This window comes from Homo sapiens, chromosome 19 (assembly GCF_000001405.40).
Source record: "Homo sapiens chromosome 19, GRCh38.p14 Primary Assembly".
Taxonomy (NCBI): domain Eukaryota; kingdom Metazoa; phylum Chordata; class Mammalia; order Primates; family Hominidae; genus Homo; species Homo sapiens.
The window spans coordinates 29683552-29698725 of NC_000019.10; the positions used below are offsets into that span (position 1 = coordinate 29683552).

The 15174-nt window shown below is 50.6% G+C and overlaps 6 annotated features.

Annotated features, from left to right (window-relative positions):
* Nucleotides 6732–7284: an enhancer, noted in NCBI's record as "H3K27ac hESC enhancer chr19:30181190-30181742 (GRCh37/hg19 assembly coordinates)". NCBI's record gives its function as "activates a minimal SCP1, AML or CMV promoter by ChIP-STARR-seq in naive H9 embryonic stem cells {active_cell/tissue: H9 hESC(naive)}" and the evidence as "EXISTENCE:reporter gene assay evidence [ECO:0000049][PMID:30033119]".
* Nucleotides 7285–7836: an enhancer, noted in NCBI's record as "H3K27ac hESC enhancer chr19:30181743-30182294 (GRCh37/hg19 assembly coordinates)". NCBI's record gives its function as "activates a minimal SCP1, AML or CMV promoter by ChIP-STARR-seq in naive H9 embryonic stem cells {active_cell/tissue: H9 hESC(naive)}" and the evidence as "EXISTENCE:reporter gene assay evidence [ECO:0000049][PMID:30033119]".
* Nucleotides 7431–7725: an enhancer, noted in NCBI's record as "tiled region #11339; HepG2 Activating DNase matched - State 12:CtcfO, and K562 Activating DNase unmatched - State 12:CtcfO". NCBI's record gives its function as "activates a minimal TATA promoter and a strong SV40 promoter by Sharpr-MPRA in HepG2 and K562 cells {active_cell/tissue: HepG2 | K562}" and the evidence as "EXISTENCE:reporter gene assay evidence [ECO:0000049][PMID:27701403]".
* Nucleotides 7515–7712: a silencer, noted in NCBI's record as "fragment chr19:30181973-30182170 (GRCh37/hg19 assembly coordinates)". NCBI's record gives its function as "represses an EF-1alpha promoter that drives an FKBP-Casp9 reporter gene in an ReSE screen in K562 erythroleukemia cells {active_cell/tissue: K562}" and the evidence as "EXISTENCE:reporter gene assay evidence [ECO:0000049][PMID:32094911]".
* Nucleotides 7644–7703: an enhancer, noted in NCBI's record as "active region_14414". NCBI's record gives its function as "activates an Ori minimal core promoter by ATAC-STARR-seq in GM12878 lymphoblastoid cells {active_cell/tissue: GM12878}" and the evidence as "EXISTENCE:reporter gene assay evidence [ECO:0000049][PMID:35858748]".
* Nucleotides 11458–11517: an enhancer, noted in NCBI's record as "active region_14415". NCBI's record gives its function as "activates an Ori minimal core promoter by ATAC-STARR-seq in GM12878 lymphoblastoid cells {active_cell/tissue: GM12878}" and the evidence as "EXISTENCE:reporter gene assay evidence [ECO:0000049][PMID:35858748]".

The window sequence follows — 15174 nt, forward strand, 5'->3', positions numbered from 1 at the left end:
TCTCGCTCTGTCACCCAGGCTGGAGTGTAGTGGTATGATCACAGCTCACTGCAGCCTCGACCTCCTGGGCTCAAGCGATCCTCCCAAGTAGCTGGGACTACAGGTGTGCACCACCATGCCTGGCTAACTTTTTAATTTTTGGAAAGCTTGGGTCTTGCTCTTGCCCAGGCTGGCTTCAAGCCATCCTCCCACCTCAGCTTCCCAAAATGTTGGCAGTACAGCCTTTTCTTTCTTTTTTAAATCAAGGTAAAACCTACACCCAGTAAAGTGCACAGATCTTAAGTGTGCACCTCAGTGAGATTTTGCACAAACACGTAAGTGTGTAAGGCACCATCCAGATCTCCAGCAGTCCCAGAAGTCTCCCTCTAGCCCGTCCCCATGGTACCTGCCTCCAAAGGTTACTTGGTGTTCTGATTTCTATCACAAGTTTTTCCTGGTGTTTTGTTTTGTTTTGTTTTATTTTGTTTAGAGACAAGGTCTTGTCACCCAGGCTGGAGTGCAGTGGTGCAGTCTCGGCTCATTGTAGCCTCCCAGGCTCAAGCGATCCTCCCTACTCCTCCTGAGTAGCTGGGACTACAGGCATGTGCTACCATGCCTGGCTAACTTTTTTTCTAAAGATGAGATTTCAGTTTGTTGTCCAGGCTGGTCTCAAACTTCTGGCCTCAAGTGATCCTTCTGCCTTGGCCTCCCAAAGTGCTGGGATTACAGATGTGCACCACCATGCCTGGTCCTGTTTTTTTTGTTGTTGTTGTTTTTTGTTTTGTTTGTTTTTTTTTTTTTGAGATGAAGTTTCACTCTCGTTGCCAAGGCTGGAGTGCAATGGCGCTATCTTAGCTCATCACAACCTCCGCCTCCCAAGTTCAAGTGATTCTCCTGCCTCAGCCTCCTGAGTCCACACCTGGCTAATTTTGTATTTTTAGTAGAGACTGGATTTCTCCATGTTGGTCAGGCTGGTCTTGAACTCCCGACCTCAGGTGCTCCACCTGCCTCAGCCTCCCAAAGTTCTGGGATTACAGGCATGAGCCACCGCGCCCGGCAACCTGGCCCTGTTTTTAAAAAACGTCATATAAATAGAATCACACTGTGTGCATTGTGCTGACTTCTTTTTTTTTGTGTTTTTTTTTTTTTAGATGGAGTTTTACTTTTGTTGCTCAGGCTGGAGTGCAGTGGCACGATCTCGGCTCACTGCAACCTCTGCCTCCCGGGTTCAAGCAATTCTCCTGCCTTAGCCTCCCGAGTAGCTGGGACTACAGGCATGTGCCACCACACCTGGCTAATTTTTGTATTTTTAGTAGAGACGGGGTTTTACCGTGTTGTCCAGGCTGGTCTCAAACTCCTGACCTCATGTGATCCACCTGCCTCAGCCTCCCAAAATGCTGGGAGTACAGGCGTGAGCCACCTTGCCCAGCTATGCTGACTTCTTTTGCTTAAACTTATGCCTGTGAGATTCCTCCATATTGTTGTGGGCATCTGGCATTTGTTCTTTTGCATCGTGGTAAAGTATCCTGTTTTATGAACCTTCCACAGTTTCTTACCCACGCACTGTTGATGGACATCCAGGTGGTTTCCAGTTTGGGGTTGTTATGAATAAAGCTGCTACAGGCATTTCTGTAGATGTCTTTTGGTGGACAGAAACACTAGGTACATAACTAGGAGTGGAACTGGCCCACCGGGTATATGCATATCTGATTGAGTAGAGGCCGCCAGTTTTCTGTAGTAGTTACATGAATCTGCACTCCACTGGTGTGTATGAGGGTTCCAGTTGCTCCACGCCCTCACCAGCACTTGGTGTTTTCAGTCCTTTCACTGTGATCATTCTGGTGGGTTACTTGGAATACAGGTCTCAGACACTGTCCTGGAATCGGAGCTCGCCTCACCAGTTTCATGGGGTCGGTCTGGGGACGGGAGGGGCAGCTGTTCCTCCAGCATTCAGGCAGAGCGGGTGCCTGAGACTGACATCGTGTGGGTGTTAGGCCCAGTTCCAAACCAAAGAGGCAGTCAGCATATTTATGGCATGCACAGGTTGGCATTGGTGCAAAAAATGAAAGAGGAGAAAACTGCCCGCCAGCTTTTAAATATTTTATTTATTCATTCAGCAAATATTTGAGTACCTACAAGCACTGGGGCTACAATGGTAAATAAGACAAAAATCTCTCCCCTCTGGGAGTCCACTCTAGTGAAGGGAGACAGACAGTAACTACAACTGAAAGTGTGTTAGAGTGGCCGGGCACGGTGGCTCAGGCCTGTAATCCCAGCACTTTGGAGGCCGAGGTGGGTGGATCACGAGGTCAGGAGTTCGAGACCAGCCTGACCAACATGGTGAAACCCTGTCTCTACTAAAAATACAAAAATTAGTTGGGTGTGGTGGTGCATGTCTGTAATACCAGCTACTCGGGAGGCTGAGGCAGGAGAATTGCTTGAACCTGGGAGGCGGAGGTTGCATTGAGCCAAGATCGCACCACTGCACTCCAGCCTGGGCGATAAAGCGAGATTCCATCACAAAAAAAAAAAAAAAAAATGTGTTAGAGTCTCTCATATCTGTGGCATCTGCATCTTTTCCAGCACTAGGAAGATTCCCAGCAAAGAGGGGCCACACTGTTTGGAAATACACGTGCCTGCCCTTTTTAGTTCAGCTCTGCTGAGGGGCTTGTGTGTTTGCTGAAAAGATTATCTCAACATTCTTCCCCTTGCTATAGATTGTCTCATTTGGGGAAAAAAACATATAATAGAGTGTATTAGCGAGTAGTAAGTGCTATGGGTAATGACAGAGAAGGGAAGAGACGGTGAGGGCTGGGTGGCTACGGTTTCAGATGGAGCAGCCAGACATGGCATCACTGGAAAGGTGAAATTGAGTCAAGACCTAAAGGAAGGGAGGCAGAGGGCTATGCAGCTACTTGGGAGAAGAATATTCCAGACAGAGGGAGGAGCAGCTGCAAATGTCCTGGGGTAGGAACCTCCTGAGCCTGGAGGGGCCTAGAGCAGTGAATGAGGCGGAGGGTGCCAAGATGACTGCAGAGAGGTGAGGGGGAGAGGAGATGGCGGAGGGCCTGGGATATGCCAGGAGCCACAGCGTGTGGCACACACAGTCTTACTTAGCTTTTTTTTTTTTTAGACAGGGGCTTGCTCTGTCACCCAGGCTGAAGTGGAGTGCAGTGGTGCCATCATAGCTCACTGTAGCCTCAACCTCCTCGGCTCAAGCAATCCTCCCGCCTCAGCCTCTAGAGTAGCTGGGACTACAGGTGCACCACCATGCCCGGCTAATTTATTTTTTATTTTTTTGGAGAGGTCTGGCTATGTTGCACAGGTGGGTCTAGAACTCCCAGGCTCAAGCGATCCTCCTGCCTTGGCCTCCCAAGTAGCTGGGACTACAGGTGCACCACCATGCCCGGCTAATTTATTTTTTATTTTTTTGTAGAGGTCTAGCTGTGTTGCCCAGGTGGGTCTAGAACTCCTGGGCTCAAGCGATCCTTCTGCCTTGGCCTCCCAAAGTGCTGGGATTACAGCTGTGAGCCACCATGCTGGGCAGGAACTTTGTTTTTTAATGACAAGGTGGAGATTCCTACTAGATATGGAGAGGCTGAGTGGGCCAGAGGAAAATCCAGGCTGCCCAAACACATTTGGGAGTCACCAGTGAGTAGGCAAGTCAGGGGCTGGGTGAGTGTGGATAGGAAGAGAAGGCTCCAAGAAATGAGCCCTGGGACACCCCAGGGTCTGCAGGTCAGCTATCGGAGGTCGGAGCAGCAGAGGAGATGGAGAAGGAGCAGCCAGTCCCGCTGCAAGGGGAAGGCCAGGAGAGCCTGGGGCCAGAGGCGCAGCCAGGAGGGAGGGACCAAGGAAGGGGAGGACTGGAAACTGACCTCGGGCTTAGGAACGTGGAGGTCAGTGGTGCCCTTGATGAAGGATCTTGGTGGGGTGGTGGGAGCAGATGCCTGCGGGAAAGGAACGAGAGGACGGAAGAGACAGATTAGCAGCGGCAAGCACAGAAACTCACCGGAGGAATGCTGATGCAAAGGGAGAGAGAAGTGGAACCAAAGCGAGTTTGGGGTTTTGAAAAAATAGCATTTTTGAGATATTGTTCACATCCCATAAGATCCGCCCCCTCTTTGGAGTATCCAACTCAGTGGTTTTTAGTAGTCACAAGATTGTGCAGCCATCACCACTATCCAATTTCAGAACAGTTTCATCACCCCACAGAGAAACCCTACACCCATGACGAGTCACTACCCGTTCCTCCCACCTCCCAGCCCCTGGCAACGGCGAACCTACTTTCCACCTCTGTGGATTTGCCTTTTCTGCACATTTCATGTAAATGGAATTATACAATACATGGTCTTTTGTGACTAGTTTCTTTCACTCGGTATAATTTTTTTTTTTTTTTTTGATGGAGTCTCACTGTGTTACCCAGGCTGCAGTACAGTGGCACGATCTCGGCTGACAGCAACCTCTACCTCCTGGGTTCAAGTGATTCTTCTGCCTCAGCCTCCCGAGGAGCTGGGATTACAGGCATGCGTCACCACGCCCAGCTAATTTTTGTATTTTTAGCAGAGACAGAGTTTCACCATGTTGCCCAGGCTGGTCTCGAACTCCTGACCTCAAGTGATTCACCCGCCTCGGTCTCCCAAAGTGCTGGGATCACAGGCGTAAGCCCCGTGCCTGGCCTTAGTATAATATTCAAGATTCATCCATGTTTAGCGCGGATCAGTATGCAATTCCTTTTTATGGCTGAGTAATAGCCCATCCTATGTTCTACACATTTTGTTATTATTCACCAGATGATGGACATTTAGTTGTAATGCTTTTTGGCTATTGTGAGTAATGTTGCTTGTGAACACTGGTGTGTGTGTGTTTTTGTCTGGACATATGTTTTCCACTCTCTTGGGTATATGCCTAGGGGTGGAATTGCTGAGTCATGCAGTCACTCTGTTTAACGTTTTGAGAAGCTGTCAAACTGTTTTCCAAAACGGCTACATCATTTTACATTCCCACCAGCAATGTACAAAGGTTCTGATTTCTTCCCAACCTCATCAATACTTGTTATTCTCTTTATTTTAACCATCCTAGTAGGGAAAAAGTGGTATATTGTGGTTTTGACGGCTGATGGTGTTGAGCCTCTTCTCATGCGCTTAGTGTCCACTTTTAAATTAGGACATTTGCCTCTTTTTTTGTAGCGATGGAGTCTCATTATGTTGCCCAGTCTGGTCTTGAACTCCTGGGCTGGCAGAAGCAATCTTCCTGCTTCTGCCACCCAAAATACTGGTATTATAGACATGAGCCACCAAGCCCAGCCACGTTTGTCTTTTTATTGCTTAGTTGCGAGCATTCTTTATACATTCTAGATACTAGTCCCTTATCAGATACATGATTTGCAGTTATTTTCTCTCATTCCATGGTTTGTTTTTTTCACTTTCTTGATAGTGCCCAATGCACGTAAGTTTTAAATTTTTGATGAAATCCCATTAACCTATTTTTTCATTTGCCACTTGTGTGTTTATGTCATATCTAAGAAACCACTGCCTAATCCAAGGTCATAAAGAGTTATTCCTATGTTTTCATCTAAGGGTTTTATAGTTTTAGTTGTTACATTTATGTCTGTTTAGACTTAATTTTTTTTTTCTAACAGGAAAAAAAGGAGGATTGCTGGATTCAAGCAATCCTGTCACCTCAGCCACCCAAGTAGCTGGGACTACAGGTGCATGCCACCACACCTGGCTAATTTTTCTATTTTTTGTAGAGTCAGGGTCTCACTATGTTGCCCAGGCTGGTCTTGTACTCTTGGCCTCAAGTGATCCTCCCAACTTTGGGTCCCAAAATGCTGGGATTACAGGTGTGAGCCACTGCACCTGGCTTTGACATAATTTTTTTACATGGTATAAGGTAGGCAGTAGACTTCATTATTTTGCATGTAGTCATGCAGTAGTCCTAGCACTACTGGTTGAAAAGACAATTATTCCCCAACAAAATTGTCCTAATACTCATTGACATTTTGGTTGTTTTTAATATTGGAGAACAAATGTGCGTGTTCATGCTAATGAACCTGTGGAGGCTGTGGAGAGGGGGAATCAGTGACACAGAGAGGAAGAGGAGAATGACTAGAGTGGCATCCCCTGATGGGAGAGGGGGTGGACCTGGTGTCCAGTGGAGGAGGTGGCCTTAAAGCAAGGTCAGTTCACAGTAACAGGAAGAAAGATGGTTGCCTGAGTGCAGGTGGAGATGGTGGGCATTCTCTTCTGGAGGCTTCATTTTTCCTAGGGAAATGGGAAGCAAGGTCACCACTGGAGAGAAAGAACAGGAGAGGAAGGGTTGGGAGCCCAAGAGAGAAGAGGTTAGAGGGAGAGGAAATGAACTCAGAGGGGGCTGCCATGTTGCTGGCAATTATCCCGTATTTTCCTGGGATAATTGCCAGCAACATGGCAGCCCCCTCTGAGCTTAGTGATGAAGAATTGAAGGTGAGAGAAGCCCAGGCATGGTGGCTCACACATGTAATCTCAGCACTTTGGGAGGCCGAGGTGGGTAGATCATCTGAGATGAGGAGTTCAAGACCAGCCTGGCAAACGTGGTGAAACCCTGTCTCTACCAAAAATACAAAAATTAGTTGGGCGTGGTGGCGGGCACCTGTAATCCCAGCTAGTAGGGAAGCTGAGGCAGGAGAACCGCTTGAACTCAGGAGGCAGAGGTTGCAATGAGCCGAGATCTTGCCACTGCACTCCAGCCTGGGCAACAGAGCGAGACTCTGTTTAAAAAAAAAAAAAAAGGCCAGGCACAGTGGCTCATGCCTGTAATCTCAGGACTTTGGGAGGCCCGAGGCGGGGGGATCACATGAGGTCAGGAGTTCAAGACCAGCCTGGCCAACATGGTGAAACCCCATCTCTACTAAAAATACAAAAATAAAAATTAAAAAATTAGCTGGGCGTGGTGGCAGATGCCTGTAATCCCAGATACTTGGGAGGCTAAGGCAGGAGAATCGCTTGAACCTGGGAGGTGGAGGTTGCAGTGAGCTGAGATCACTCCACTGAAATCCAGCCTGGGTGACAGACGAGACTCCATCTCAAAAAAAAAAAAAAGTGAGAGCAGTCAATGTGGTCAGGTGTTTTTCTTCAGCCATATCTGATGAGGCAGTTGGAGGGAGAGGGGATAGGAACTTGGGGATGCCATCATCCAAGGCCTCCACAGCAGGGCTGCCTGTTCCTGGGGCAGGACAAGGCTGGTGCCCAGTGGCTGCAGTAAGTGACCCTCTCACTGGCGATGCTTGGAGTCACTCAGGTAGGTGGTCTCACCCACACACCAGGTCTATTTGACATCTCAAGGGAGGGGGAAATGCCCCTGCCTTAGGTCTGGTTAGAGAGCACAGATTAGGGAAGCCACCAGTAAGCCCTCAACTCTCCCAACTCCCAACCTGTCAGCTTGGGCTGCCATGACAAAATGTCATTGATTGGGCAGCTTAAATTTATTTTCTCACAGTTCAGGAGGCTAGAAGTCCAAGATCTGGGAGCCAGCATGGTTGGGTTCTGGGGAGGGCTCTCTTCCTGGCTTACAGACGGCCACCTTCTTGCTGAGTCATCACATGGAGGAGAAAGAGCAACAGAGCCCTCTGGTGTCTCTTCTTATGAGGACACTAATCCCAGGATGAAGGCCCCACCCTCATGGCCATATCTAAACCCCCTTACCTCCTGCATCAAGTCCGCTTTCACACTGCTAATAAAGACATACCTGAGACTGGGTAATTTACAAAAGAAAGAGGTTTAATGCACTTGCAGTTCCACATGGCTAGGGAGGCCTCACAATCATGGGGCAAGACAAAGAGGAGCAAGTCACATTTTATGTGGATGGCAGCAGGCAAATAAAGAGACCCTGTGCAGGGAAATTCCCATTTTTAAAACCATCAGATTGGCTGGGCACGGTGGCTCATGCCTGTAATCCAACCACTTTTAGAGGCCGAGACGGGCGGATTACCTGAGGCCAGGAGTTTGAGACCAGCCTGGCCAACATGGTGAAATCCCATCTCTCCTAAAAATACAAAAAAGAAAAATTAGCTGGGCGTGGTGGTAGGCACCTGTAATCACAGCTACTCGGGAGGCTGAGGCAGGAGAATCACTTGAACCCAGGAGGCAGAGGTAGCAGTGAGTCAAGATCAGACCATTGCACTCCAGCCTGGGCAACAAGAGTGAAACTCCGTCAAAAAAAAAAAAAAAATCTGATCTCGTGAGACTTATTCACTATCACAAAAACAGCACAGGGATGATCCCCCCGCCCATGATTCAATTATTTCCCACCAGGTCCCTCCCACAACACGTGGGAATTATAGGAGCTACAAGATGAAATTTGGATGGGGACACAGAGCCAAACCATATCACCTTCCTAAGGTCCCATCTCCAAACACCATCACTCTGGGGGTTAGGGCTTCAACACAGGAATTTTAAGGGGGACACAATTCAGTCTACAGCACCTCCCAACCTGCTCTTGACCTCTAACAAGGATATCAAACAAGCCCAGATGCTAAATTTCAGAACAGAGGAGAGACAGAAAAAAAGAGTGGTTCCTGGCTCTGAAAGGAGTGTCTGTATCACCGGCAACCTGAGTGGAAAAGAAAAAAGAAATCTTTCATTTTTATACTTTCTATTGTGTATTTTATAGAGTTGTGATTCCCAATATGCTAGCCACTGGCCACATGTGACTAGTCAGAATTGAGATGTGCTAGCAAGTGTAAAATAGACAACACGTTTCGAAGGCTTAATATGAAAAAAATGGAAATCATCTCAATAATCTTTTATATTGATTACATGTTGAAATGATAATAGGTTGGATATCAGGTTAAAAAACATATTATTAAATTAATTTCTTCTGTTTGTTCCTACTTTTTAAAAGTGTGGGTTATGAGAAAATCTCAAGTTACACGTGACTCACTTTGGAGGCCAAAGAAGCTCCATCTTGGATACTAATCTGCCAAGTTGGCTTCTGATGAACCCCCATTCCAGGAAGGCCTCTAAGATCCCAATTTCTCTATCATTTCTTGTATGATTGCAGGTACTTACCATAAATCCTTAGGTCAAACAACCTTGATGTTATCCTACTTCAACTGTCTACACATCCCTTCTGAACCACCCTCCCCTCTGGTATACAAGTCCTGGGTCTTGGGGGTGATGGCGCGGGGTCCACCATCTTGTCTTGCCACTGCCAAGACACAGACATGGCTTCTGTCCGTAAGTCCCTACTGAATGATTCTTTCTAAGGAACTAGATATGCCAGCCTCTTTCTTTGGCCTCTCAGCTTCCTCAGATGTTGGGGTAGGTTTGTATACACCTGCCCATGGTAAAACTCACGTTTGGCTTGTATTCTATTCATGTTGGATAGCGCTGACATAGAAGAACCCAAAACAGCCCCCAGCACAGCCGGCCCTCCTGCCTTGGTCAGTGGGAACAAGCACATCAGATCAAGCTCTCATGGGTCTCAGGATCTGGGATGGTGCTTTGGAACTGAATGTTGTGGTGGGACCACTTCTCTAAGGACGGCAAGATCCAAGGTGGGCTGTGAGCACTCTTCCTGAGTGATGGCCTTTAACGGTCCCCAGAGGCAGCCCCAGGGAGATGAGGACCTGGCTGGCTGTCCAAAAATCTGATCAGGCTGGCTCTTGTTTGGTTTAGGGATACATAAATAACTCACATTTTAAACACTAGAACTCAGGCATGAGACGCCCATGCCTGCCTGTCTGTTCCCTCTGAGCCATGCCTTCATCGGGTGGGAGAACCACTAGGATCACAGCACCATCTGCAATCCCTCTTTTTTCTTTTTTTTTGAGATGGAGTCTTGCTCTGTCGCCCAGGGTGGAGTGAAGTGGTGTGACCTCGGTTCACTGCAACCTCTGCCTCCTGGGTTCAAGCAATTCTCCTGCCTCAGCCTCCCAAGTAGCTGGGATTACAGGTGCCCACCACCACGCCCAGCTAATTTTTGTATTTTTAGTAGAGATGGGGTTTCGCCATGTTGGCCAGGCTGGTCTCGAACTCCTGACCTCAGGTGATCTGCCCGCTTCAGCCTACCAAAGTGCTGGCATTACAGATGTGAGCCACTGCGCCCAGCCTGCAAGCCCTCTTTCTTATTTCCTCCAAGCACTGAAGCATGAATTTGTGGTAAGGTAAATAAACGTGTGTGTGTGGCATGGTGGGGGGATACATCCACAGAATGTCACGTGCCCAGCCCTGTTCTCTGTTTGTTACACTTGACTATTAGGATTCCAGCCTCTTGTTCACATACATAGTCTAACTATTTCCTTTTTGGTCAGAATTGGAATTCTTTCCCTTTTTTTTTTCCTGCTATTATAAACAGCAGTGCTATGAATATCTTTATTGTTTTCCACTTGAATTATTTTATTGGAATGTTTTCCCTGAAGTGAAATTGGTTGGCTGGGAGGTATATATGATTTTATAGTTCCTGTGATTTTCCTTTTCATCAAATCACTCTCCCAAAAGACTGCATTGCTATGTATCGCCTTCTGCATGTACGTGTGTGTGTGTGTATGCACGTGCGTGTGTGGACGTATGTGTATACCGTTTTCCCTCAGCCCTGCCAGCTGTGGGTTTGATCATTTGTATTTATTTTTACTAATTAACATGGTATATAACAGATATCTCCTGGATATTATATTTGCATTTGCTTACTTGCTAACAAGAATGAGTAAAGTCCTTCTCTTAAAACCCAGAAAAATAAAATAAACAGCCACCACATCCATGGCTTAGAAAAACACCTCTCAGCTCCCTCCTATGCCAGGACTTGGGGGCACCCACAGCTGACGCCAAGGCTGCGACACGGCTGGCCAGGCCCGAGCTTGGCCTGCTGACCTGTGGCTGTCATCATGGTCCTAGAGGCCTCCTCCAGCTAATAAAGCCATTTCTCTCCTCCAGCCAATAAAGCCATTTCTCTCCTCCAGCCAACTGAAGGCACATCAGGCAATGCCCTCTTCTGCATGGCTTAGATGAGTCCTGCATTTCTTAATTCCCATATGTTCGTTGTTGGGATTGAGAGACATTCTGTTTTACATGCAAAAAAGGTTGCAGGAGATGCGGCTGGTGTCCTGTCCACAGCTTATGAAAACCTCAGGGCAGCCTCCGCACCCTCCCCCTGGGGAAGTTACAAAACAGCATCCTCTGAGAGCCACTGTCTGGGCCTGGCCTGGCCTGGCCGGGACCTGGGGAGAGGAGGAGGAAGGCCTTGCCTGGCTGGCCCACCAGAGGGCGCCTCCCACCACAGGTGCCAGGCTGTGTCCCCAGCCCTGTGGCCTCCTGGCTCTGCACACAACAGCCAGGCCTGCATCCCTCCAGCCAGACATCTCAGCCCAGAGACACAAAGCAGTCATCCAGCTAAAACGTACCATCTGCCTGGGAACGGCAACACTGAAGCAGGTTAATAGCTGGCCCAGAGCAGATGGTTTATTCCAATGATGACTGGGTCCCTGTACCCAGGCGTCTTCCTTAGTGCTGCCTCGCCCACCGGCAGCCCGCAGCTCTCCCTGGGCCAGGCCCCACTGGAAGGGCCAGCCCTGCTGCCCAGAAATCCTGCCACTCCGCCACCCAGACACCGAACACCCAGACACCTAACACACAGACACCTGACACCCAGACACCTGGACACCTGACACCCGGACACCCAGACTACCTGACACCCGGACACCTGGACACCCGATCACCCAGACACCTGATACCCAGATACCCGGACACCCAGACACCTGACACCCAGATACTGAGACACCTGACACCCAGACACCTGACACCCAGACATCCAGACACCCGGACACCTGACACCCAGACACCTGACACCCGGACACCTGGACACCCGGACACCGAGACACCTGACACCCAGACACTGAGACGCCTGACACCCAGACACCTAGACACCTGACACTCAGACACCCAGACACCTGACACCCAGACACCTGGACACTCAACACCCAGAAACCTGACACTAGACACCTGACACCCAGACACCCAGACACCTGGACACCCAGACACCTGACACCCAGGCACCTGGGGACACCCAGACACCCACATACCCATACACCCAAAAACTTGACAGCTAAACACCTGGACACCCAACACCTAGAAACCTGACACCCAGACATCTGACACCCGGACACCTGACACCCAGACACACAGACACCCAGACACCTGACACCCAGATACTTGGACACCCAGACACCTGGCACCCAGACACCCAGACACCTGGCACCCAGACAGTCAGATACCCAGACACTCAGACACCTGACACCCAGACACCTGGACACCTGGACACTCAGACACCTGACACTCAGACACCCATACACCCAGATACCTGGAAACCCAAACACCGGACACCCAGATACCCAGACGTCTGACACCTGGACACCCAGACACCTGACATCCAGACACCCAGACACCCAGACACCCAGATGCCCAGACACCCAGACACCTGACACCTGACACCCAGACACCCAGACAACTGACACCCTGACATCTGGACACCCAGACACCCAGACACCCGACACCTGACACCCAGACACCTGATACCTGACACCCAGACACCCGAATACCTGGACACCCAGACACCTGACACATGACACCAAGATACTCGACACCCAGATACCCAGACACTCGGACACCCAGACACCTGACCTCCAGACACACAGACACCCAGACACCCAGATACCCAGACACCCAGACATCTGACACCCAGACACCTGACACCCAGATGCCTGACACCCAGACACCTGACACTCAGGCACCTGGACACCCAGACACTCAGACACCCAGACACTCAAACACCAGACACCCAGACACTCAAACACCAGACACCCAGACACCCAGACACCTGATACCTGGACACCCAGACAACCTGACATCCAGACACCTGGACACCCAGATACCCAGACATGCAGACACCTGACACCTGACACCCAGACACCTGACACCCAGACACCTGACACCTGGACACTTGGACACCCAGACACCTGACACCAAGAAACCTGGACACCCAGACACCCAAACACTAGATACCCAGACACCCAGCCACCTGACATCCAGACACCCAGACACCCAGACAGCTGACACCCAGACACCTGACACCCAGACACCTGACACCTGGACCCCCAGACACCTGACACCCAGACACCTGGTGGGATGTCCGGGTGTCTTGGTATCAAGTGTCTGGGTGTCTCGGTGTCAGGTGTCTGGGTGTCTGGGTGTCCAGGTGTCTGGGTGTCAGCTGTCTGGGTGTCTGGGTGGTGAGGTGTCTCAGTGTCTGGGTGTCTGGGTGTCCAGGTGTCCAGGTGGTGGGGTGTCTGGGTGTCTGAGTGGCAGGGTGTCTGGGTGGCAGAGGGTCTGGGTGTTTGGGTATCCAGGTGTCCAGGTGGTGGGTTGTCCAGGTGTCCAGGTAGTGGAGTGTCTGGGTGTCTGGGGGTTGGGGTGTCTGGATATTCGAGTGGCAGGGTGTCTGGATGGTGGGGTGGCTGAGTATCCAGGTATCCAAGTGACACTCGGACACCCAGGCACCTGACACCAGACACCCAGACACCTGGACACCCAACACTCAGACACCCAGACACTCAGATACCCAGACACCCAGAAACCTGACACCCAGACACCCGGATACCCAGACACCCAGAAACCTGACACCCAGACACCCAGATACCCAGACACCCGACACCCAGACACCCAGAAACCTGACAGCCAGACACCCGGATACCCAGACACCCGACACCCAGACACCCGGACACTCAGACACCCAGACACTCAGACACCCAGACATCCAGACACCTGATACCCAGAAACCTGACACCCCACCACCCGGACACCCAGACATCCTGCCACCTGAACACCCTGCCACTCAGTCACTTGGACACCTGGATACTCAGCCACCCCACCATCCAGATACCCTGCCACTCCAATACCCAGACACCCCAACCCCCAGACACCCAGACACTCCACTACCTGGACACCTGGACAACCCACCACCTGGACACCTGGACACCCAAACACCCAGACCCTCTGCCACCCAGACACCCTGCCACTCAGACACCCAGACACCCCACCACCTGGACACCTGGACACCCGGACACCCAGACACCCGGACACTCAGACACCTCACCACCCAGACACCGAGAAACCTGACACCCAGAAACCTGGACACCCGGACACCCAGACACCTGACACCAAGACACACAGACACTTGACACCAAGATAGCCGGACACCCCACCACCCAGACACCTGGACACCCTGCCACTCAGCCACTTGGACACCTGGGCACTCAGCCACCCCACCACCTAGACACCCTGCCACTTGGATACCCAGATACCCTGTTCCCCAGACACCAAGACACCCAGTTACCCCACCACCTGGAAAACCCTCCACCCAGACACCCTGCCACGTGGACACCTGGAGACCCCTCCACCCACAGACCCCACCACCAGGATACCCTATCACCCAGACACACAGACACCCAAACACCCTGCCATCCCACCACCCAGACACTCTGTCACCTGGACACGCAGACACCCTGCTGTCCCACCACCCAGACACCCTGCCACCCTGCCACCTGGACATGCCACCACCTGGACACCCAGACACCCTGCCACTCAGCCACCTGGACACCATGCCACCCAGCCACCCGGACACACAGCCACCCAGCTGCCCCGCCAGCCACATGTGGCTGACTCCCTGCTCACCCTCCCAACTGCGTCAGCCATAGGGAACTGGGGTGGGGTCCCAGCACCCCTGGGCAGGCAGTTCCATAGGGGATTACCTCCAGCTGTCTTTCACAGAGAGACAGCCAAGCTACAGATCAATCAACCCCATTCATAATCAAAGAAAATGAATCAAACCAGATGTCAGTAGTCACCCATGAAATTAATCAAGGCATAAGACACTAGCACTCTGCTCCTTGGTGGGGATGCAATGAGATGTGTGCCCCCTTGATGGGAGAGTAAGTTAATGATACCGCCTCTCCAGAAAGGATTCTGACCTAATAAAACAACCAACCTTAAAAAAAGTTGCATACTTCACGGGGCACAGTGGCTCACACCCATAATCCCAGCACTTTGGGAGGCCGAGGTGGGCAGATCACTTGAGGTCAGGAGTTTGAGACCAGTCTGGCCAACATGGCGAAACCCAGTCTCTACTAAAAAATACACAAATTAGCCAGGCGTGGTGGCAGGC